The following is a 23,609-nucleotide window of genomic DNA, read 5'->3' on the forward strand; positions in this document are numbered from 1 at the left end:
GAGGATGGTTTTGACATTTTTACCAAGCTAATGGTCTACACAGACAAAATCTCATAAAAGGGCACTCTGTTCTTCTTGATCCACTCAGACATGGCCTGTGAGTGAAGAAACAGGCTCTCCTCCTCAAAGAAATCACTGCTGATCCTCACACCAGCCTGACACTTCTTCATGGGTTCTTCAAAGAGAGTATTCCCATAGAAACTAAAAGGGAAGAGGAATGGGTCTGGCGGGCATTGTGGGCAGCAGTGGGCTTTGGGCCAAATTTTAAGTTTGAAAATCAAGATTCCCTCTTTTCAAGGGGCCGCCAGACTGAGCAGATACAGGCGCCGCGAAAAGAGCGTGCCATATTCAGATTCAGGAAACAAGGATGGTTTCTGTTCAGTTCCTCCATCATCCTTCAGGTCATGCGATTCCCATTTCCCTTTGTGGACCAAAAAATTCAGTGGGGTTTCTGCCTTTTAAATATTTCATTATCAACATATCATCATTTTAGCCTCCAGAAAGCATTTTAACATGGAGATTCTGGCTTAAGACTCTTGTGGGTCTGTCTGTCTCTCTCTCTCTCTTTTGCTTGAAACGGTCTCACTTTGTCACCCAGGCTGGAGTGCAGTGGCATGATCACAGCTCACTGCAGCCCGACCTTCCAGGCTCTAGCAATCCTCCCACCTCAGCCTCCCAAGTACTTGGGACTACAGGCACACACCACCACACCTGGCTTTTTTTTTTTTTTTTTTTTTTTTTTTTGGTAGATATGAGGCTTCACCATGTTGCCCAGGCTGGTCTTAAACTCCTGGGCTCAAGCGATCCTCCCCCTTCGGCCTCTCAAAGTGCTGGGATTATTGGCTTGAGCCACCATGCCCGGCCAAGAACCTTGTCTCTTGTGATGCACCCCAGAACAAAACATCACTGCAAAAACACACCAAGGCATGAGTTTTAGTCCTAAGTCCCATTTATCCACCATACACTATGTGCCAGGCACAACGCTAAGTCTTTCTATGGACGAGCATCCCTTAATCTCAGCAGTAACAACCCCAGGCAATGGGGCCTGTTGACAGATCCATTTGCCACTGAAGACAGTAAGGCTCAGAGAGGGTAAGTGGCTTGTGCCATGTCAGCCAGCTAAGGAGGGGCAGAACCAGGATGCAAACCCCAGCCGCCTGGCTCCAGACTCGCGTTCCCAAGGTCCCACTACGTTTGGTCACTGCAGTGCATTCTGGTATCCTGGTCTTTGGCAGAGTCCACGTAAAAGAAGGAGGTAGAGGGAGTGAGAGGGACTTCACGCAATAAAGTTTCCTGATGTTACACTGCCACCGTAATTGTGTCCCCGACCAGAACCTCTCCCTTCTCATCCTTTCCGTGATCGGCCCTGGAAAACCTTCCAGAGAACTGTCCTCCTTCTCCCGGGATCTCAGAGAAAATTCACTCAGAGTTCAGTGTCCAGGTGACCCAAGCTCTGAATGCAGTAACGTGCACGGGGAGATGAGGATGTCACCATGAGCAAGCCTCCCAGACAGCATCCGGGAGCAACCCCAAGACTGGGCAGGGGGGCTCTGATGCAGCCCACGGCGAGGAGGGCTGCCCGTGCTGCCTAAATGTGTTCAGAATGAAGGCCGCCCTCCCAGCTTTAACCCGGGGCAGGCCACGGAGCCTCCCGCCGCCCCTACCCCGCGTCCCCAGCACCCCCGCGCTCCCGGCACCCCCGGACCCCCGCGCCCGCGTCACTTACTCCTCTGCCGTCGCCACCTGTCTGGGTGCCGGTCTCCTCCCTGCCCGGCCGCGGCGCGTCCTCCCCGTCCTCGCAGTCCTGGGGCTGTGCGCTTCCCCCCTCCAGCAAGAGCCGCAGCCTCTTCTCTTCGGGAGGGACGTCGTCCTCCTCCCTCCTGGGCCGGCCATCCCTGCCTCGGGGCTTGCCAGTGGCTTTGGAGCTGCCGGAAGGGCTGGCCATGGCTCCGGGGGCTCTGCCTGCATTTGGGGAAGAAGGACCCGGCGCAAGCGGCCTCTCGGCGGAGCTGGGGCGTCTGAGCGCGGGCTCGGAGGGTCCGCGCGGCGCGGAGGTGGGCACCGGGGCCGGCGCGGGCTCCTCTGCGGGCCGCTCCTGGCTCTCTGGCGCCCTCTGCTGGCCGCTCACGCGCACCTCCGCCACGCCGGGCCCGGGCCTGCGCCGCTCTCACCTGTCCTGGCCCGGGGGTCGCTGTCCCTTGCCCGTGGCCAGGCCCGCTCTGGCCAGGCCCTGCACCTCCTCCCCGCCCCAACCAGGTTGCACCCCGATGGTCTCCCTGCTCAAGGAGGAGAGAAGAGAAGGGACGCCCCGAGAGGGTGGACATCGGCCACAGCCACCTTGTCTTTGCTCTTACCCTGTGTCTTGCATGATTTGGAGGTGGTGGGAAAACCGAGGCTGCTCAAAACTCGTGGAGAATTCCGCCTGCAGGATGACATGAATGCACCTTCACATTGCCTACCAACAGATCTTTTTTGAGCATCACTGTGGACCAGTCGTGGTGATGGGGGAGGGGATATTGTGGTGAACATGACAGGCATTGCCTTCACCCAGTGGGGCTCAGCGCTGGGTGAGAAGGCATTGAGAATGGACATTGTCAATTGGGCCAAAGGAGGCCAAGGAGAAGTGCTGGGGACATGGGAACTAAAAAAGACAGGAGGCTCAGCAGGTCTTGGAGCTGGGAGAGTGACAGCAGCAGCGGCTGTTCCAAAGGAAGCAACAGCTGAGAGAGGTCTCAGAGAGTTGTTCTCAGCCCAGTGGAGGGTGTTCAGGCAGAGGGAACAGCGTGTGCAAAAGCCCAGAGGCTGGGAAAGAAGCAGAAAGAGGACTGTGGTGCTGGAGCGTGGTGGACAAGGTGAGAGAGGTGTGGTGGGCGGACAGATGGCCTGGGACCCAGCCGTGCAGGGGCAGAGGATATAGGGGATCCTTGCAGGCCCCCAGCCGGGGCTGAGGCACAGAGACAATGCAGGTGGGCAAAGGGAGGAGACGTGGAGAAATATTTTGGAGGCATGCCCTGATGAATGAGCCCAGGATGCACCCTTAGTGTCAGTGTGGAGCTCCTGCCTTGGCTGTGTGATGACCTGAACCCGGGGGTATTTTCTGGACATCGAAGTGCTACACCCAGAGTCCAGGACAGGCTAAGTGAGCACCAGCAGCTCCTGGCCCACCTCAAAAGCAGGAGAGACAGGGGAGACTGGGGAGGCCGGGGCGGAAGGGGAAGCCAGGAAGGCAGGAGAGGCCAGGGAAGCAGAGGAGGCCAGGGAGGCAGAGGAGGCAGGAGAGGCTGGGGAGGCTGTGTCCTTTCCATGATTCTGCCCAGGATCCTAGGTCCCTGTACTCCCTGAACTTCTCCACCCCAAGCGCTGGAAACATGTTGCACAATGGTCTCCCCACTAAGCTCCTGATGGCAGCCCCTGCCCTGCTGTGCTCCCTATTTCAACCCTAACAGCTCTCACAGTGGGCAGCACATAGTAGGTGCTCAGGAAACACTGGTGGGAGAGCACATGGGTCTGCTCAGCACCTTCCTCTCTCCTCCAGCTCTCCCCTGTCACGAAATAATTCTGATAACGACACATGGGCTATGAGACCCTCTTCTATTACTTTCCATATGCTAATCCATCTATACCCCACAGCAGCCCTGGGGTGGGTGCAATGAGGATGCCCATTTTATAGAGGAGGAAACTGAGGTATAAAGAGGGTAAGTGACATAGGCACACTACAGGGGCTGGGGCCAAGTGATCAGAGCACTCAATCCCCAAAGGCAAAGTGGATGCAGTTACCATAAAAGACAGCAGAGTCAAAGCTGCAACCAGAATAGCCTGACTCGCAGAGACCTATGGTGCCAGCTGATCGTGGCATTCCTAGAAGTGAAATAGATAAGAAGCCTGCCACATTTTTACTGGATCTGTGTTTGCAGAAGAGTTCTAGGTCAGGTGAGCAGAAGTCTAATCTGAATCATAAAAACAGAGTCACAGTCCCCAGTCAATTCCCAGACATAAGCCAGTTCACAAACCCGGAGTCCCTTGTCTGAATGGGAAGCCAGGTCCCCTCCAGAAAGGACTCTGCTCCACTGCAAAAAATTTATACTGTCAATCTTTCTCCCAGCCTGCCCCCAAGGGAATACACAGCCTTTTACCAGGATGACTGAACAGGAGAAAAGGAACTAATGGGCCCTGTGCAGGATCACTGGACACAGGCTCTGAACTGGCACTAGGGCGAGACTAGGGTCTACCAGACAGAATAGGCATTTTGGAGGTCAGGTGAATGTTGGTGCAAGTTCATGTCATGGTAGATCCATTGGGTCCCCAAATCCATCCTCTGGTTATATACAAAATGGCCATGTTGAGATTTAAATTCATGGCATCCAACTTAGAGGCTGTGCTCTTACTCATGAAACATTCTGACACTACTAACCAATTTAAAAATGCAAACACCTCCTGGGGCTAGCGAGAGTCCTCCAAACAGTCATGTTAATTGGTTCTGTCAATCCTCCTACCCACCCACCCCCTCACCCCCCCCCCCCCCGCGCGGAGAGCCAGTTGCAAGGAGAGACTAGGGAAGGGCATTGGGTAACTTTGTTGCTAAAAGCTCTTCTGGATAAAGAAGAGCTTTATCCAGGAAAAAGAAGCAAAATAGAGTTCAGCAGAAGTTGAGAAAAGAAGCAAATAGAGTTCAGCAGAAGAGGTAAGAAAGTAAGTTTATGTTTGACCACGCACGGTGGCTCACGCCTGTAATCCTAGCACTTTGGGAAGCCAAGGTGGACAGATCACGAGGTCAAGAGATCGCACCATCCTGGCCAACATGGTGAAGCCCCGTCTGTACTAAAAATTCAAAAATTAGCTGGCCATGATGGCACACGCCTGTAGTCCCAGCTTCTCGGGAGCCTGAGTCAGGAGAATCACTTGAACGCAGGAGGCAGAGGTTGCAGTGGGCCGAGATCATGCCACTACATCCAACCCCGTGACAGAACAAGACTCCATCTCATAAAACAAAACAAACAAACAAAAGTAAGCTTATTTTTAAGCCTGAACAAGTGTAGTGGTTTAGGGGTTCTGCAAACACGGCCCCAATCAGGCTACAAGATGTTGTGGCAGCAATATTTACAGCCAGTCACTCCTGGCTGGCTGAGCCACTTTTCAAAACACGCTTGCACGGCTGTGCAGAGCGGCTGGCTCCACTGGCAGCCGGCAGAGCCATAACTCACACTGTCACCACTGCCCTCAAACCCCTTCGGTAAGCACTTTGTTTTTTTGAGACGGAGTCTTGCTCTGTCATGCAGGCTGGAGTGCAGTGGCACAATCTCGGCTCACTGCAAGCCCCGCCTCCTGGGTTCATGCCATTCTCCTTCCTCAGCCTCCCAAGTAGCTGGGACTACAGGTGCCCGCCACCATGCCCGGCTAATTTTTTGTATTTTTAGTACAGACGGGGTTTCACAGTGTTAGCCAGGATGGTCTCAATCTCCTGACCTTGTGATCTGCCTGCCTCAGCCTCCCAAAGTGCTGGGATTACAGGCGTGAGCCACCGCACCCGGCCTGGTAAGCACTTTTAATCAATGCAACAGGAATAAACATTTGCTGCAGAGCGGCAACGTGCAGGGAGGAACATGGTTCCACTCAGGCTCAGAAAGCAAAACCTCCTGGCTGTTTGCATCTATGCAAGAGCTCGCAGGAAAAGCCCTCTGTGTGGCTGCCAGCCTCACACACTCCCCCCAAGGGGTGAGTTTCTCTTTCCATGTTAATCTATGCTCTGATGTGCCATCTGTCAACAACCACACCATTCTCAGTTGCCATTTCAAAGCATCTTTGCCCTGTGAATGGTCACCAGCCCTGCCCTGCAAGCCCCCAGTTCACATTGAACTTAAATGAGAGAGAAAGCAGGTTTTGGGGTGGATTTCAGTTCAGCATCTTGGAGTCTCTGTGTGGACATGAAATCTGTCTCTCCAGCTGTGGGCTGCATCTTTGTTTGTCATCTGGTTTGGTTCTTGGGGACTTGGAAACTCGTGGGCACCTTTGCAATTTGTCAAGAAGCTGCACGGCCCTTCCAACAAAAGCAAGGAATAGGAACAGAAGCCCAAGGCTTCAGATCAATGTGCAACTTAAAGCAGCCTCAGTGTAAAAGCAAACAAGAGTCAGAGGGATGCCTAAGGCAGAGTCTAGTCCCCAGGGCAGCTATAAGGCAAAGGGAAAGAGAGAGAGAGACAGAGACAGAAAGACAGAGAGAGATGGGAGGAGACATGAGGCACCCAGGCCTCTGCATCAAAATCCCTACAAGAGGGGCCTCCTAAAAATGCAGGAGGCTGAGGTGGGTGCACACAGAAGTTCAAGACTAGCCTGGGCAACATAGCAAGACCGTGTCTTTACAAAAAATACAAAAATTAGCCGGGTGTGGTGGTGTATGTCTGTGGTCCCAGTTACCCAGGTGGCTGAGGTGGGAGGATGGCTTGAGCCCAGGAGGTAGAGCTGCAGCGAGCTGAGATAGCACCACTACACTCCAGCCTGGGCAACAGAGTGAGACTTCATCTCAAAAAAATTTTAAAAAAATTTTAAAAAGGATCACCCTGGCTACTTGAATGGGCAATAAGAAGGTAAGAGCAGAAGCAAGGAGACCAGCAGGGAGATTCTGCAGGTGGGAGTCCACAGTGGCTCAGACCAGGCTGGCGCTGAAAACTGCCTGAATTCTGTATATATTTTGATGATGAAGCAACTCACCGACTCTTGAAGAGTGGGCTCTAGGAGACTGTATTTTTAACAAGCTCTCAGAGGATACTAATGCAGGCTGAATTTGAAGAACTGGTTTAGGTGAAGCTTATCTTTCATTCTTGGGGAAGTACCTACTGACTTTTCTCTAAGTCACCTCAAAAGAGGTGCTAGACAAGATGTGCTCCAATGTCTGAACATGTGTGCACAACTCTAGAGCCAACCTCAGGACACTGAGTCAAAGGTTAGTAGTACAACAGTGAACAACCACCATCCTCTTTTCAATGAGCTTTGCATTTAATGAGAGAAATAAAAAGCAAAAAAAAAAAAATCATTTTCAACTCAGAATGGTAAAAGTTATGGTGACAGTATGCCTGGGGCAATGGGAGCACATAGAAGGGGCATCCGATTGGCTAGGTGCAGTTGTTCATGCTGTAATCTCAGCACTTTGGGAGGCCAAGGTGGGTGGATCACTCGAGACCAGGAGTTCAAAAACAGCCTGGCCAACATGGTGAAATCCTGTCTTTACTAAAAATACAAAAACATTAGCAAGATGTGGTGGCGGGCACCTGTATTTCCAGATACTCAGAAGGCTGAGGTGGGAGAATTGCTTGAACCCGGGAGGCGGAGATTGCAGTGAGCCAAGATCGCGCCACTGCACTCCAGCCTGCATGGTCAGAGCGAGACTCCATCAAAAAAATAAATAAATAAATAAAAGCCCGGAGGTGGGTGGGCATGCAATCTCTATCAGGTGGTGAGAAATCCTTCTCCACCACAGGACTCCTCAGTTGAAGACTACAAAATGGTAGGAATTAGCCAGGTCGATAGGAGAGGTGTGGAAGATCATTCCCAGCAGAGGGAAGAGCATGTGCACAAATCGAGACGTGAGAGGGTGAGGAGCTGAGAGATGTTTATATAATTATAAAAATTGACTAATATAGAGGTAAGTTGGAGCCAAATCTTAAAGGTTATTTGTCGTGTTTATCCTGTAGACAAAGGGAGACAGTAGATGTTTTTATGCAGGGGAGTAATGATCCACTTTGTGCTATAAAAAGAGCAGTCTGACTGGAGGAGAGTGGGAGGTGAGTAGACCAGGTAGGAGGCTGCAATACGCCAAGTGAGACAAGATGGTTGGCTAGACCAAGGCTGTGGCAGTGAGGATGGAGAGGAGACAGTAGACTAACTTGACTGAGACAGAGGGAGGAATGAAGGAGGAGGCCCAGGTGTTTTGGAAGCTGGGTGGATGGTGGTGTGAATCTGATGTGATGAGCCCAGGCAGAAGAGGAAATCAGGAGAGGCAAGGTAAGATGAGGTCAATGCAAGAAAGACAGCCAAGTGGAGATAAAAACTGGGCCGTTGGATTCGTCAGCCTGGAGTTATACAGAGAGCTCTGAAATGGAAATAAAGAGGAAAGGACTTTGGGAATAGGTGAATCCTCCCAGAATAATGTGTAGAGAAAAGAGAATAGAACACAGGGGACAGAAAAAGGGAAGAGATTTGTTATTAAAACCAACCATCCATCAGACATCTTCCAATACAACACTTGTTAGAGGTTTCCTCAGTGTGAGTTATTCAGGACCAGAGCTAAAGACCATATTCCCAATAAAATCACGACTGGGAAGGTCTTCATGAAAACATTTAATGCTACTTTTAAAACAACAACAACAACAAAAAGGCTTTAGCTACTGCACAGACCCTGGAGCAATTTTTTGGCAAGAGTCTATCAAACACGAATCTGATCTGACTCAAGGAAGTGTCATATCAAGTGTAAAAATCCAATTCCAATGTTCATAACAGCCTTTCTGCCAGGTACAAGACCGTAATCCAGTTGAAGTGATTTTCTATGATTAATAGTCTGGGAATACACAGGTTGTTGGTTTTTGAGATTTCCCTCCCTGTACCTTCATGCCAGCTGTGAAAGAGTCAAAAGGCTCCTAACTGTCAAAATAAAAATGACACTTGGTCACAGAGGAAACAGATTATAGGTCAAACACATTGATGACTTTTTAACTATGAGAAGCCATTAATGTTACTGAATAAGCAAATCTGTTTGCATAACCAGATTTGTATAGGCTACTGGGAATAAAGGTTTTCCTAAGTGGGTGATTTGTACAACGATAACCTTTGGGTCTCTGATGGAACAGCTCTGATGAGGAAATGTTCCTTTAATTATGTGGAAGGCCAATTACCACGTTATAGCCACATTGTTTTGCAGATTGCATATAATTTCACCATTTCCATAGCTTCAGCACTATAATTCTGGAGAAAATTCAGGCACCAAGGAGACACTTGAGGCACACTATGCTGGAGACAAAGATGTTTTAGCGAATTCAATTTAAGCTTCAACATTAAAGTTATTTTGTTGAATAAAACATAATGCAATAATGAGCTTGTGTATGTCAACTCTATAGTGCAGGTAATAATAGCTAGAGAGAGCATGTCCCGTCTCCTCTTTTTAATGCTCATTCGAGTAATACATAATGCTATAGAAAGAACCTTTCTCTAATATGTGCTTCATCTCAGGCTGAGCGTGTTTTGGGCAACTGTGCTTCATGAAAAAGAAAAAAAAGTAAAGGATCTAATTTGGGAGCCATTCACAAAAGTGCTACCACTTGATGTTTTTTTATACTCTGAGATTTCTTATTCCCAGTGCCTACCAGGAATGGACTTTCTGGAGAAGCTCAGATTAATCACTCCTTATGAGAGGTGACAGCATGCTGGCAGCCCTCACAGCCCTCGCTCGCTCTCAGTGCCTCCTCTGCCTGGGCTCCCACTTTGTCGGCACTTGAGGAGCCCTTCAGCCCGCGGCTGCATGGTGGGAGCCCCTTTCTGGGCTGGCCAAGGTCGGAGCTGGCTCCCTCAGCTTGCAGGGAGGTGTGGAGAGAGAGACGTGAGCCGGAACCGGGGCTACGCGCGCTGCTTGCCTGCCGGCTGGAGTTCCAGGTGGGCGTGGGTTTGGCAGCCCCGCACTAGGAGCTGCCGGCTGGCCTTGCCGGCCGGGGCAGTGAGGGGCTTAGCACCTGGGCCAGCAGCTACTGTGCTCGACTTCTCGCCGGGCCTTAGCTGCCTCCCCGCGGGGCAGGGCTCGGGACCTGCAGCCCGCCATTCCTTAGCCTCCCCACTCCGTGGTCTCCTGTGCGGCCCGAGCCTCCCCGACGAACACCGCTCCCTGCTCCACGGCACCCAGTCCCATCGACCACCCAAGGGATGAAGAGTGTGGGCACACGGAGAGGGACTGGCAGGCAGCTCCACCTGCAGCTCCTGTGCGGGATCCACTGGGTGAAGCCAGCTGGGCTCCTGAGTCTGATGGGGACTTGTAGAACCTTTATGTCTAGCTAAGGGATTGTAAATACACCACTCGACACTCTGTATCTAGATCAAGGTTTGTAAACACACCAATCAGCACCCTGTGTCTAGCTCAGGGTTTGTGAATGCAGCAATCGACACTCTGTATCTAGCCATTATGGTGGGGACTTGGAGAACCTTTGTGTGGACACTCTGTATCTAGCTAATCTAGTGGGGACGTGGGGAGACTTTGTGTCTAGCTCAGGGATTGTAAAGGCACCAATCAGCACCCTGTCAAAACACACCATTCAGGATCTCTGTAAAATGGACCAATCAGCAGGATGTGGGTGGGGCCAGGTAAGAGAATAAAAGCAGGCTGCCCAAGCCAGCAGTGGCAACCAGCTGGAGTCCCCTTCCACACTGTGGAAGTTTGTTCTTTTGCTCTTTGCAATAAATCTTGTTGCTGCTCACTGTTTGGGTCCACACTGCCTTTATGAGCTGTAACACTCACCGAGAAGGTCTGCAGCTTCACTCCTGAAGCCAGCGAGACCATGAACCCACCAGGAGAAATGAACAACTCCAGACGTGCAGCCTTAAGAGCTGTAACACTCACCGTGAAGGTCTGCAGCTTCACTCCTGAGCCAGCGAGACCACGAACCCCACCAGAAGGAAGAAGCTTCGAACACATCCGAACATCAGAAGGAAAAAACTCCAGACACGCCAACTTTAAGAAGTGTAACACTCACCAGGAGGGTCCGCGGCTTCATTCTTGAAGTCAGTGAGACCCACCAATTCTGGACACGCTTATACACTTGGCACTGGGAGGTCTGTATGGAGCAAGTGAAGAAATCAGCAGAGTGAAGATAGAGGGAGAACAACATGATGGGGGAAAGGCAAAGTTACTGCCATGTTGGTTTCAATGCTGCCACTCATGAGTGAGACCCATGACCTCCTCTCTCTAGGACTCTGTTGTCCTTATCTGTAGAGTGGAGGAATAGAAGGGCCTTTTAAAGTATTAACATTTCCTGACCTATCTGTAAACTGATGGGAATCTTGACTACTTTGCCAAGAGGACATAATAATCATCAAGCTGAATGCACCAAACAACATTGCCTGAAACTAAGCAAAAACTGAGAAAGTTACACAGGACAGACAAACCTCCTATAAGAGTAAGAACTCTTTAGCACATGCTTAGTGTATCAAAGACAATGCTGTGTTCACACCATTCCTCTTCCTGGACATGCAGAAAGACTACATTTCCCAGCCTTACTTGCAGTTAGTTTGGAACCATGTGACTGCATTTCCACCAATAGGAATGTAAGAAATCCCTTCAGGCCAAGGTTGTCAAAGGCAAGTGTGAGCTATGTTCCCTCTCTTCCTATCCATATGGCTACAAGTGAAAAACTCTGAGATGGCAGAATTAAAAGATGGAAACCTCCAGAATCTCTGAATCACTGTTGGACAAGGGCCCCCAAGGAGAACCCCTGCCCTGCACCAGACTATGCTATGGGTGCCAACCCACTGAGAGTTCAGGGTTTATTCGTCTCAGCAGCAGTCTATTGTTACACTGACTAACATCCTAAGGTTTGAGCAATCTAGCATATTGTTAATTGAAGCTAGATTTCAATTACACTGAGAAACTTATCTATTTAAAAATAAAAACTCTCCTAAAAAAAACAAATAATCCACATTCCTTTTAACAACATGTGGCGAATTTGCACAAAAAAACACAACAAAACAAAAAAAAAAAACTGGCCACATATTAGGCCATAAAGAAGTCTCAACAAAATCCACTATACAATTGACATTGTCCAGACCACATTTTCCTGACCATAATGCAACAAAATTAGAAGTCAACAGCAAGAAGATAGCTAAACACAAGCATACATTAGGAAAATTAAAAATATCCTTTCATGAGTTAAATGAAAAATCACAATAGAAATTACTAAACATTTACAACTGAATGAAAACACAACTTTATATATATGTATGTATTTTTTTGTGTGTGAGTCTTCCAACTTTGTTCTTCTTTTACAAGGTTATTTGGGAAATTCTGGGTCTCCTGCAATTCCTCATAGAGTTTTATGCTGTTTGTCAATTTCTGTGGCTGGGATGAACTTATCGTAGTTCTCATAGACCAGGGTTTGCATGTCGCTGTCTAGAGCCCGGATCTGCTGCACCATGTCCGTCTCACTGTCCATCAGCTGGGCCAGAGAGCACTCTCTAGGCAGCTTGTCTAGGTAAACTTCCGGGTCGAAATGCGCCCCGTTCAGATCAGTGGGGTCCAGGGGGTCGGGCCCCGCGGGGAGTCCCACCGCCTCCCCTTCCGAGAGGCCGTTGTAAAGCTTTAGCATCCTGTGCGCCTTCTGCCGACGCTCCGTGAGCCTCCACATCGGGCCCTTTTGGGGAGTCCCCAGGTCCACACCCCGGGCTAGGCCCAGTGACAGCTGCCGCCGCCATAGCTCCAACTGCAGCCCACGGGCGTAACTTTTTATATTTTTAAGTTGGATATATGGAGCTACTTGGCTTTTGCTTTCATCACATCGTTGAGGAAAGAGGTGGTTGCTTATGGTACCCCTGTTTTTACTGCAACCTGTAATGGATCAGAAACTCCCTGTTGCAGAGAGCAAAACACTGAACTAAATTGTGCCCTGTGTTGTGAACTAAACACAGCCCTGTGTTGGGGGATTGGGAGTGATCATGCAAACGCTTGCAAATTTGCACAGTGACAGAGACAATCGTTTGGGCAGCTGTTCACTATATGAAAAGGCAATTGACCAAAAGTCAGTTACTGAGCTATCTCAATACTTTCAATTTTTTTTTTTTTTTTTTTTTGAGACGGAGTCTCGCTCTGTCGCCCAGGCTGGAGTGCAGTGGCGCGATCTCGGCTCACTGCAAGCTCCGCCTCCCGGGTTCACGCCATTCTCCTGCCTCAGCCTCCCGAGTAGCTGGGACTACAGGCGCCCGCTACCACGCCTGGCTAATTAATACTGTCATTTTATTTTCACTTTTGGCAACCGGGTGCAATTAAAGGAGAGAAAGAAAACAAAGTGATAAGTGTAAGATAATGTACACACATGTGTAAAAGAAAATGACAAGACAGGATGACTACTTGTCTCTTGGTTAGCTCCTTGGGCTCTATGTCTCCTTCCTCAGAGAACCTCGTTTTCCTTTGTCCAGATTTGTTAGGGTGGATAATCCAGGCGCCTGCTCTCCCATGATGGAAGCCAAAGACGTCCCTGGAGCCGCCTCCCGCTGCACCCTTTCCTGCACTGCCCACATGGACACAACTCAGCCGATTAGACTTCCTCTCAGAACTTTAGTCTTGAGCAAAGGGATTAAAGGGTGAAGTGACTGAAGGTATGCCCTTCCGAAGTGGTACGTGAGCTAATGGCTAAAGTTTGCCAAGCCCATCCAAGCACATTTTTTCGTAATTTTTCTTTATTTATTTTTTTAAGACAGAGTCTTGCTCTGTTGCCCAGGCTGGAGTGCAGTGGCGTGATCTCGGTTCACTGCAACCTCTGTCTCCCGGCTTCAAAGGAGTCTCCTGCCTCAGCCTCCCCAGTAGCTGGGATTACAGGCATATGCCACCTTGCCTGGCTAATTTTTTATTTTTTTTTTTTTGTATTTTTAGTAGAGACAGGGTTTCACCATGTTGGCCAGGCTGGTCTCGAACTCCTGACCTTGTGATTCGCCTGCCTCAGCCTCCCAAAGGACTGGGATTACACTCGTGAGCCACCACGCCCAGCTTCCAAAAGTTTTAAGCAGAGCTCAGAGGTCTTAACCACAGGCACATCAGAGGAGCATTTTTGAAACGCTTTCCAGCTTCCTCAATAGGAATGGAAGCCAAACTCCGAATTGATGACTCCTTTGAGGAAGTCGAGAGCTGTAAGGAAAGCCAGGAACAGGGGCAAGGGAGGGATGCGTCCCGAATGATCCTGTGCCAATTCTTTCTGGAATCCTTGATGTGATCTCAACTGCCCTTTCTATACATGACACAGTGATTGTGGCACCCACTGGTCTAGATGTGGTCTACAAGGAACCCCGAAAGGGAAGGGCACAGTGAGCAGGGCCATCGGCCTGAGTGATGAGGATTTGAGAGGGCAGGTTGGATGCAGGGAGAGGACTGGCCAAATGCCATGTGTCTGGACTTAGACTGCCTGGTTCAAATTGGACTTCACCCTTTTTGACTTCGTGATCTGGTACAAGCTACATGAAAATCCGTTGCGCCTTTTCTAGTCTGTAAAATCATCATGAAATGTGCACTAATAACGTGGAGACTATGCAGATGAAATGAAACCAGCTGCATAGAGCGCAGAGCTCAGAGCCTGGCCTTTAGGAAGCCCTCAGTAAGGGTTCATGATGCCATGGTGTCTGTCATCATCCTCTTTATCCTCATCATCACCTTCATAATCTCTTTGTTGTTCTTAGGGAATAGTTTAGAGGGACTGATTCCCTGCTATCATGGGTGAGATGTCTGTGAAAAGGACAACCAGTGGGGGAGGAAAGAAAAATTTTGAATAAGATTTCTGAGACCCCCAGCACAACCAAGAACAGAAACTCCACAGTCTGCTGAGGACAGAGTTTGCATATTGGTCTCCTCACATCTGCCCAGCGCATTCTCCTGTTTGTCCTGAGGAGGAGGAAACAAACAAGGCTCCCAACCGTCCCTCAGCACTCACTTGAAGGGGTGGCCTGCCCCTCCACACCTGTGGGTATTTCTAGTCGGGTGGGACGAGAGACTGAGGAAAGAAATAAGACACAGAGACAAAGTATGGAGAAACAACAGTGGGCCTAGGGGACCGGCGCTCAGCATACCAAGGATCTGAACCAGCACAGGCCTCTGGGTTCCCTCAGTTTTTATTGATTATTATTTTTATTATTTTAGCAAAAAGGAATGTAGTAGGAGGGCAGGGTGATAATAAGGAGAAGGTCAGCAACGAACATGTGAGCAATACAGTCTAAGTCATAAGGAAGTTCAAGGGAAGGTACTATGACTGGACGTGTCTCTAAGCAAGATTTATGTTTCTCTCCAGCCAGACATCTCAGTGGAGTAAAGAATAACAAGGCAGCATTGCTGCCAACATGTCTCACCTCCTACCATAGGGCGGTTTTTCTCCCATCTCAGAATTGAACAAATGTACAATCGGGTTTTATACCGAGACATTCAGTTCCCAGGGGCAGGCAGGAGACAGCGGCCTTCCTCTCTCTCAACTGCAAGAGGATTTCCTCTTTGAGTAATCCACCTCAGCACAGACCCTTTACTGGTGTCGGGCTCAGGGATGGTCAGGTCTTTCTCCTCCCACGAGGCCACTTTTCAGACTATCACATGGGGAGAAACCTTGGACAATACGGCGCTTTCAAGGGCAGAGCTCCCTGAGGCTTTCCACAGTGTATTGTGCCCCTGGTTTATTGAGAATAGAGAATGGCGATGACTTTTACCAAGTATACTGCTTGGAAACAACTTGTTAACAAGGCACGTCCTGCACAGCCCTAGATCCCTTAAACCTTGATTTCATACAACACATGCTTTTGTGAGCTTCAGGTTGGGTCAAAGTGGTTTGTTCAAAGTGACTGGGGCAAAGCTACAGATTAACAACATCTCAGCAAAGAAATTGTTGAAAGTACAGGCCTTTTTCAAAATGGAGTCTCTTATGTCTTTCCTTTCTACATAGACACAGTAAGAGTCTGATCGCTCTTTCTTTTGCCTACACTCACTGAACTGCCCTTCCCCTCTGCTGGGCCATGACCACGGAGAACAGGTCCACTGTCCTCCCTGTGTGGTGCACCATGGAGGCTCAGACTCCGTCCTTGAGGCTGGCAAGAAGACAGGGTAAGACATGAGCCTCCTGATACAGGTGATGTCTGTGGAGCCCACAGGACTGCAACCTCACACTGCAGGGCTGGAGGCACAGACTATTTACTATTCTGTGGCCTGGGAGCTCAAGGCACAGACCTCCTCATTAGCCAAAGTCGCCCAAGTTCCCCAACCACTAAGGATTTCCTCATAATAATGCAAGAAGAAGAAGAGAAAAGTGAGTGTCCATAGAAGCTTTGGGGCTCTTCCTCTAATCAGGAGAAAGCTGGTGTGTATTCTTAACTTCTTTCTTTTCTTTTTAAACATCCAACTGCTTTAATTTTCATCTTTATTGTGGGAAAATATACCATGTATAAATATTAAAAATTATAAATATATATTAGTTCATATAGAATGGCCAGTATAAACATTTACAATTTCCACTGTTTTTCAGTTTACAGTTTCATGACATTAAGTACGTTCACATTGTTTAGCAACCATCACCGTCATCGTCTCCGGAACAGTTTTATCTTTCAAAATGGAAATGGCACCCATTCACCAAGCTCTCCACTCCTCTCTCTTGCCCACCCCTGGGGGCCACCTTTCTAGTTTGCAACTCTATGAGTTTAACTACTCTAGACACTTGATAGATAAGTGGAATCATACCGTGTTTAATTTTCTTGTTTTGGAGACAGAGTCTTTCTCTGTCACCCAGGCTGGAGTGCAGTGGCATGATCTCGGCCCACTGCAACCGCCACATCGTGGGTTCAAGCGATTCTTCTGTCTCAGTCTCCGGAGTAGCTGGGATTACAGGCGTGCGCCACCACGCCCAGCTAATTTTTGTATTTTTAATAGAGACCATATTGGCCAGGCTGGTCTCCTGACCTGAAGTGATCCGCCTGGCTCAGCCTCCCAAAGTGCTGGGGTTACAGGTGTGAGCCACTGAGCCTGGGCGTGTTTATCCTTTTGGGATTCATTTATTTCACTGACGATAATGTTTGCAAGGTTCATCCATGTTGCGGCCTGCGTCAGAAGTGCCTCTCTTTTTTTTTTTGTTTGTCTTTTGTTTGTTTGTTCGTTTGACTTTGTTTTGTTTTGTGTTTCCATGGAGCCTCACTCTGTCGCACAGGCTGGAGTGCAGTGGCACAATCTGGGCTCACTGCAACCTCCGCCTCCCGGGTTCCAGCCATTCTTGTGCCTCAGCCTCCCGAGTAGTTGGGACTATAGGCACACCCCACCACGCTCGTCTCATTTTTTGCATTTTCAGTAGAGACAGGGTTTCACCAAGATGGCCAGGCTGGTCTTGAATTCCTGACCTCAGGTGATCCGCCCACCTCGGTCTTCCAAGACGCCGCAATTACAGGCGTGAGCCACCGCACTGGCCAGAAGTGCCTGCCTTTTTAAGGCTGAATAGTCTTCCATTGTATAAAGGAACTGCAGTGTGCTTTTTCATTCATCTGTCCATGAACCCTTGGGTTGCTTCCACATTTTGGCTGTTGTGACTAATGCTGCTATGAATATGGGTGTACACAAATCTGTCTTCCACTCCTGGCTTCTAATTCTTTTTGGTAGGTACCCACAAATGAAACTGCGGGAACATCTGATCATTCTGTTTCTAAATTTTCCAGTAGATGCCATACTATTTTCCCCGTTCCTTCATGGTTTTACATTCCCTCCAATCATATTCGAGCATTCCTACTTCCCTCTAGTCTCACCAATGCTTTTTTGTTTATCATATCCATCCTAATGTGTGGTATGACATTCTTGGTTTGATTTGTGCTTCCCTATGATGAGTGACTTTGAACATCATTTTAGATGCTTATTGGCCATTGCTATATCTTCTTTAGGAACACGTCTACTCAAGTCTTCTGACCATTGTTGATGGGATGCTTTGGGTTTCTTGTTGTTTAGTTGTAGCTGTTCTTTATATATGATGGATATCAGCCTCTTTTCAGATATATGCTTTGCAAATATTGTTCCTAATCCATGGGTTATCTTTTCACTCAGTTCACAGTGTTTTTTGCTGCACAAAAGTGTCTGTCATTTAGATGTAATCCAAGGAATCTAATTTTCTTTTGTTGCCTATGCTTTTGGTGTCATATCCCAGAGAACATTGCCCAATCTGATGTCATGAAAGCGTGGCCAATGTTTTCTTTTAGGCGTATGATACTTTTAGCCCTTGGGGTGAGGCCTTTGATCCAGTTTGTGTTAATTTTTGCACCTGGTGTGACATAGGGTCCACCTTCATTCTTCTGCATGTGGAAATCAAGTTTCTCCAACACCATTTCTTGAAAAGGCTGCTTTTCCACCAATGAGCTTTCTTAGCACTCATGTGAAAAATCATTTGAACATATAGGTGAGAAGTTATTTCTGGGCTCCAAAACAAACAAACAACAACAGACAACAGATAAGGATACAGCATGGTCCGGGCGCGGTCGCTCACGCCTGTAATCCCAGCACTTTGGGAGGCCGAGGCGGGTGGATCACCTGAGGTCAGGAGTTGAAGACCAGCCTGACCGACAGGGAGAAACCCCCGTCTCTACTAGAAATACAACATTAGCTGGGCGTGCTGGCGCATGCCTGTAATCCCAGCTACTAGGGAGGTGGAGGCAGGAGAATCGCTTGAACCCAGGAGGCAGAGGTTACGGTGAGCCAAGATTGCACCATGACACTCCAGCCTGGGCAATAAGAGTGAAACTCCATCTCAAAACAAAAAACAAAAAACCAGCATGATTTCAAGAGTGGAAAGAGAAGAGCTTAAAAACCAGCATAATGAGAAAGTTAGGAAGCTTCTTACCAAAGCATCTGGAAATATGCAAGCAATTCTTGTGAACTAAAATTTTCATACTGTACTATCAAACACTAGAACTCACTTGTTCCATCTTTCTGTATTTTGGGACACAATTATCCACTTGTCTTCATTCCCTATCCCACCCCTTTTCTTCCTAGTGTCTGCTGATCACCTTTATACTTTCCACCTTCCTGAGATTCCTATTGTGTGTAGGTGGGTGATGGAGTCTCTTTCTGTTGCCCAGGTTGGAGTACACAGGCAAAATCCGGGCTCACTGCAAGCTCTGTCTCCCGAGTTCAAGCACTTCTTGGGCCTCAGCCCTCTGAGTAGCTGAGACTACAGGCATGCGTCACCATGCCCGGCTCATTGTTTGTGTTTTCCGTAGAGACGGGGTTTCACCATGTTGGCCAGGCGGGTCTCGAACTCCTGGACTCAAGTGATCCGTGCGACTCGGCCTCCAAGAGTGCTGGGATTCCAGGCCTGAGCCACCACACCTGGCCAAGGTGTCTTTTTTCTTCCTACATAGAAGTGAGGACATGAAATATTTGTCATTCTGTGCCTGGCTTCTTTCCTTTAATATACAGACCTGCAATCTCATCCATTTTGTCTGCAGCGGAGAGGAGTTTCTTCCTTTTTAGGCTGAATAATACTTCATTGGGTGTGTATACCACAGTTTCTTCATTGAAACAAATTTCTGAAGAGAAAATATTTTTAAAATGTCTCAGAATGTGAAACCTCAGGGATACTGTGTCCATTTTATTCTTTTCTATTTCCCATCTTATGTATATGCAAGTGTATAACAAAGCAGCAATCAATGTGTGTATAAATCTACAACTTCAACAAATGTAAAATATAAATGCTGAGTGCTGGCTGGGCGCGGTCGCTCATGCCTGTAATCCCAGCATTTTGGGAGGCAGAAGCGGGCGGATCACCTGAGGTCGGGAGTTCAAGACCAGCCTGACCAAAATGGAGAAACACTGTCCCTATTAACAATACAAAAAAAAAAAAATTAGCCAGGCATGTTAGCGCATGCCTGTAATCCCAGCTACTTGGAAGGCTGAGACAGGAGAATTGCTTGAATACGGGAGGCAGAGGTTGCAGTGAGCCAAGACTGTGCCATTGAACTCCAGCCTGGGCAACAAGAGTGAAACTCTGACTCAAAAAATAAGGAAAAGAAAGAAATAGAAAATGCGAAATGGTAAGAAAAAACAGCATAATAAACATTTGTATGGTGTTGATGGACAATGCATTTGAAGATAATATTTGAAGAAATCATATTACAATTAATTTCTGTTCTTACACATTGGAGCTTGATGCCTCCAAAAACTTCATCATTGGAACCACCTCTGGTGCTTTAAAAGAAAAAAAAAAAATCCACATGCTCACACAGGTGCAAGGAAATCAGAATCTCAGGTATTGAGACCCAGGGCCTCATCATTTGTAAGCTCCCCAGGTGAGTTGACTCAAAACCAAGATTGAGGAAGGGCGACATGGATCTCTACACATAACCTGCCTAAATAGATTCTCTAGAAGCAGTTTATAAAGAAATTCCAGATGAACTGTGGAAGAGGATATGAATTTGATGTACAGTATGTCCTCACTTAACATCTTTGAAAGTCTCTTGGAAACTTCACCTCGAAGCAAAATGATGTATAGTGAAACCACTTATTTTTTATCAACAGTATAACTACACAACTTTGAACAACCAATGGTGTTGGAGGACCTCCTGTACATTGTTTCCATAAAGTCAGTTTTCAGGGAATTCCAAAACGAAGTGAGGACTTCGTGTATATAAAAAGATGGTTGTGATTCCACCTGGATGACAGGGTTATTACTCAGAAACTAAAAGAGGCTGCCTAGGTATAGAGGATTCAGTCATGAGGTTTCTGCTAAACAAAGGATCCCAGAATCCTCACCCATTCCAGTTAAAGGCATAACGAAGAAAGCAATATTCACAAAGGAAATGCGGAAAGGAATAAAAGCCATCAAGCCACAAAAATAATGTGACTAAGGGGCAGGATTTGCAGATGTAGAGATTTAATGTGGTTGCCCTTTCTCACCCACACAAGAAAAAGGATGGAACAGATCATGAAATTCGACTGTTCTGCTGAGCACCCTCCGCAGGGCACTTTGTATGTCCCTGTTTCTCAGGCTGTAGATGAAAGGGTTCAGCATGGGAGTGACCGCAGCATACATCACTGACGCCACTACACCATTGCTGGGGGGTGGTGACACAGCTGAAGTCAGGTACATGCCAATGCCTGTTACATAAAATCAGCAAACAACTGCTAGGTGAGAGGCACATGTGGAGAAGGCTTTATACTTCCCATATGATGATGAAATCCTTAGAATGGAGGGGATGATTTTATAGTAAGACCATAGGATCCCTGAAATGGGAAGAAAACCAAACATAGTACTATCGAAATATATGAATATGCTATTGATGACGCTGTCAGAACAGGCAAGTTTGAGAAGTTGAGAGGGGTCACAGAAAAAATGAGAGATTTCCACATTCTTGATGATGGTGAATTGTAACACAATTCAACTGTGCAGCTGGGAATCCAACAGGCTAAGGAAAAAGGACACCAAAACGAAGAAGACACAGAGGTGAGGATTCACGATGACTGGGTAGTGCAGAGGGCGACAGATGGCTACAAAGCAGTCATAGGCCATCACAGTCAGGAGCATGCCTTCTATACATGCAAAAAGGATGAAGAAAGACATCTGCGTCAGACAGCCCGCATGAGAGATGACTCTGCTATGCGACTGCATGTCCACAATCATCTTGGGAACCGTGGCCAAGGTGAAACCGATGTCAGCCCAGCACAGGTGGGGGTGTGGAGGGGAGAGACAGAGCTGACAGCCAGGATGCTGAGCAGGTTCCTCAGCACCATGACCAGATACATGGACAGGGACAGGGAGAGCAAAGCGAGGACCGGCTGCAGTTCTGGATCCTCTGAGAGTCCCAGGAGGAGGAATTCTCAGACATCTGTGAGATTCTGTGGCTCTGTGTGTCTTGGACACCTTGAGAAGGAAAGAGGATTGGAAAAATAAAAGATAAAAACCAGTCCTTAATGCTGGATGCAAGCAATTCACAAGGAACATTTTCACACTTGCGGACCATACACCGCCAGCAATGTTTCTCAGTTATGACAATTCCAAAAAATCTCAGAATTATTACGTGATTTACTCTTTTGCTATACAAGGCTTTCTGTACATACTACTTTAGAGAAAATCCACTGAAGAATATTAGAAGACCAAAACATCATATATAACAAATCCGTGATCTCAGTAAAATACGGCCTACTCTTTTCAGAAAAAATACAATGCAATGACAATGTCCTTCTCGCTTTAAGAAAAAGATCTCAGTCTAATTGAAAGAAATTAAGAAGCCGTGAAATACACTCTACTTTATTCTGACACCGTGCTACAACTTCCATTGATGTAGAATATGTAAAAGGACGACACAAGAGCTAGGAACCCATTATCTGAAAACGAAATCAAACCTTATAGTTCTCAATCGGAAGACCTTTTCACATGCCTGTTACTTTTCGTATTTATTATCATCCTTCAGTTTTCTGACATCATTTCTTCATAAAAGTACATGCACACTCAAAGATGGGAGCTGTGTTTCCAAATGAATTGAATATATAACTCTTGGCCCAGCACCATGGCTCACACCTGTAGTCCCAGAACTTTGGGCGGCCGAGGCTGATGGATCACCTGAGGTTAGGAGTTCCAGACCAGCCTGGCCAACGTGGTGAAACCCCGTCTCCAGTGAAAATAAAAAAACATTAGCCGGGCATGGTGGCGGGTAACCCTAGCTACTCGGGAGGCTGAAGCAGGAGAATCCCTTAGAGCCTGGAAGGCAGAGATTGGACACCCTGTGATAGGATCTTTGATATCCTAGGGAGATATTGCTCCTGACAGCAGAGTGGACGTACACCCTGTGATATTATTTGTAATATCCTAGAAAGATATTGCTCCTAATATCACGGTGGCTCTACACCCTGTGATCTTAATTGTAATATCCTACAGAGATATTACTCCTAATAATACAGTGGGTGTACACCCTGTGATATTATTCATAATATATTACAGAGATATGACTCCTGATATCACAGTGAGTGTACACCATGTTTGTACACTCTATGATCTTATTTGTAACAACTTAGAAAAATATTACAGCTAATATCAAAGTGGGTGTACACACTGCGATGTTATTTGTTATCTACTAGGTAGATATTACTCCTAATATGACAGTGAGTGTACACCATGTGTGTACAGACAGTGAAATTATTCATAATACCCTAGGAAGATATTACTCCTCATATCACAGTGGGTGTACACCGTGAGTGATATTTTTTTCTAATATCCAGCGGGGGAGAGGATGATATTGCTTCCAATATCACAGAAGGTGTACACCCCCCTGTGATATGTTCCTAATATCCAGGGAAGGAGAGGATGACATTATTCGCAATATCACTGGGGGTGTACCACCTCCCGCCGGGATATTGTTCTTAATATCCGGAGGTGGAGAGAATGATGTTACTCCCAATATCACAGGGGGTGTACACCACCCCTGTTTGTAAACACCCCTGATGATATTGTTCCAAATGGCCTGTGAAAGAGTAAACATGACTCCCATTATCGCGGGGGGTGTTCAGCCTTTATGATGTTGTTTTCTAACATCCAGGGAAGGAGAGTATGCTATTACTCCCAACATCGCAGGGGTTGTACACCCTTTTGTGTTTTTGTGCCCAATATCCAGGAAAATAGAGGATGATGTTTCTCCCAATGTCGAAGTAATTGTACAGCACCCCTGTGATATTCTCCCTAATATCCAGAAAGGAAGAGAATGATATTACTCCCAACAGCGTAGGAAACGTATACCCGCGCTGTGGTATCTTTCCCAGTATCCAGTTGGGGAGAGGATCATATTACTTCCAATGTCGCAGGGTGTGTACACCCCCTCTGTGATCTCATTGCTAACATCCAGGTTTGGGGAGGACGACATTACTCCCAATATCGCAGGGGAAGTAC

General features: G+C 47.5%; 1 protein-coding gene, 1 long non-coding RNA gene and 1 pseudogene across 2 annotated transcripts in view, besides 1 other annotated feature; all 3 read right to left on the bottom strand.

Annotated features, from left to right (window-relative positions):
• The window catches only part of ASNS (asparagine synthetase (glutamine-hydrolyzing)), a 76,765-nt gene extending 74,679 nt beyond the window's left edge, over positions 1–2,086 (bottom strand). The window contains exon 1 of the mRNA NM_001352496.2: positions 1,727–2,086. The gene's annotated coding sequence lies outside the window, so the exon portion shown is untranslated. The remainder of the gene's footprint in view (positions 1–1,726) is intronic.
• Positions 1–23,609, bottom strand: part of CZ1P-ASNS (CZ1P-ASNS readthrough) — a 120,242-nt gene that overhangs the window by 74,239 nt on the left and 22,394 nt on the right. Inside the window, exons 2-3 of the long non-coding RNA NR_147989.1 lie at positions 10,725–10,805; positions 1,727–2,422 (exon numbers count right to left, since the gene is read on the bottom strand). This is a non-coding gene — a long non-coding RNA (CZ1P-ASNS readthrough). The remainder of the gene's footprint in view (positions 1–1,726; positions 2,423–10,724; positions 10,806–23,609) is intronic.
• Positions 1,975–2,144: a silencer, noted in NCBI's record as "silent region_18388". NCBI's record gives its function as "represses an Ori minimal core promoter by ATAC-STARR-seq in GM12878 lymphoblastoid cells {active_cell/tissue: GM12878}" and the evidence as "EXISTENCE:reporter gene assay evidence [ECO:0000049][PMID:35858748]".
• OR7E7P (olfactory receptor family 7 subfamily E member 7 pseudogene) lies at positions 20,628–21,634 on the bottom strand (annotated as a pseudogene).

Source organism: Homo sapiens, chromosome 7, assembly GCF_000001405.40.
Source record: "Homo sapiens chromosome 7, GRCh38.p14 Primary Assembly".
Taxonomy (NCBI): domain Eukaryota; kingdom Metazoa; phylum Chordata; class Mammalia; order Primates; family Hominidae; genus Homo; species Homo sapiens.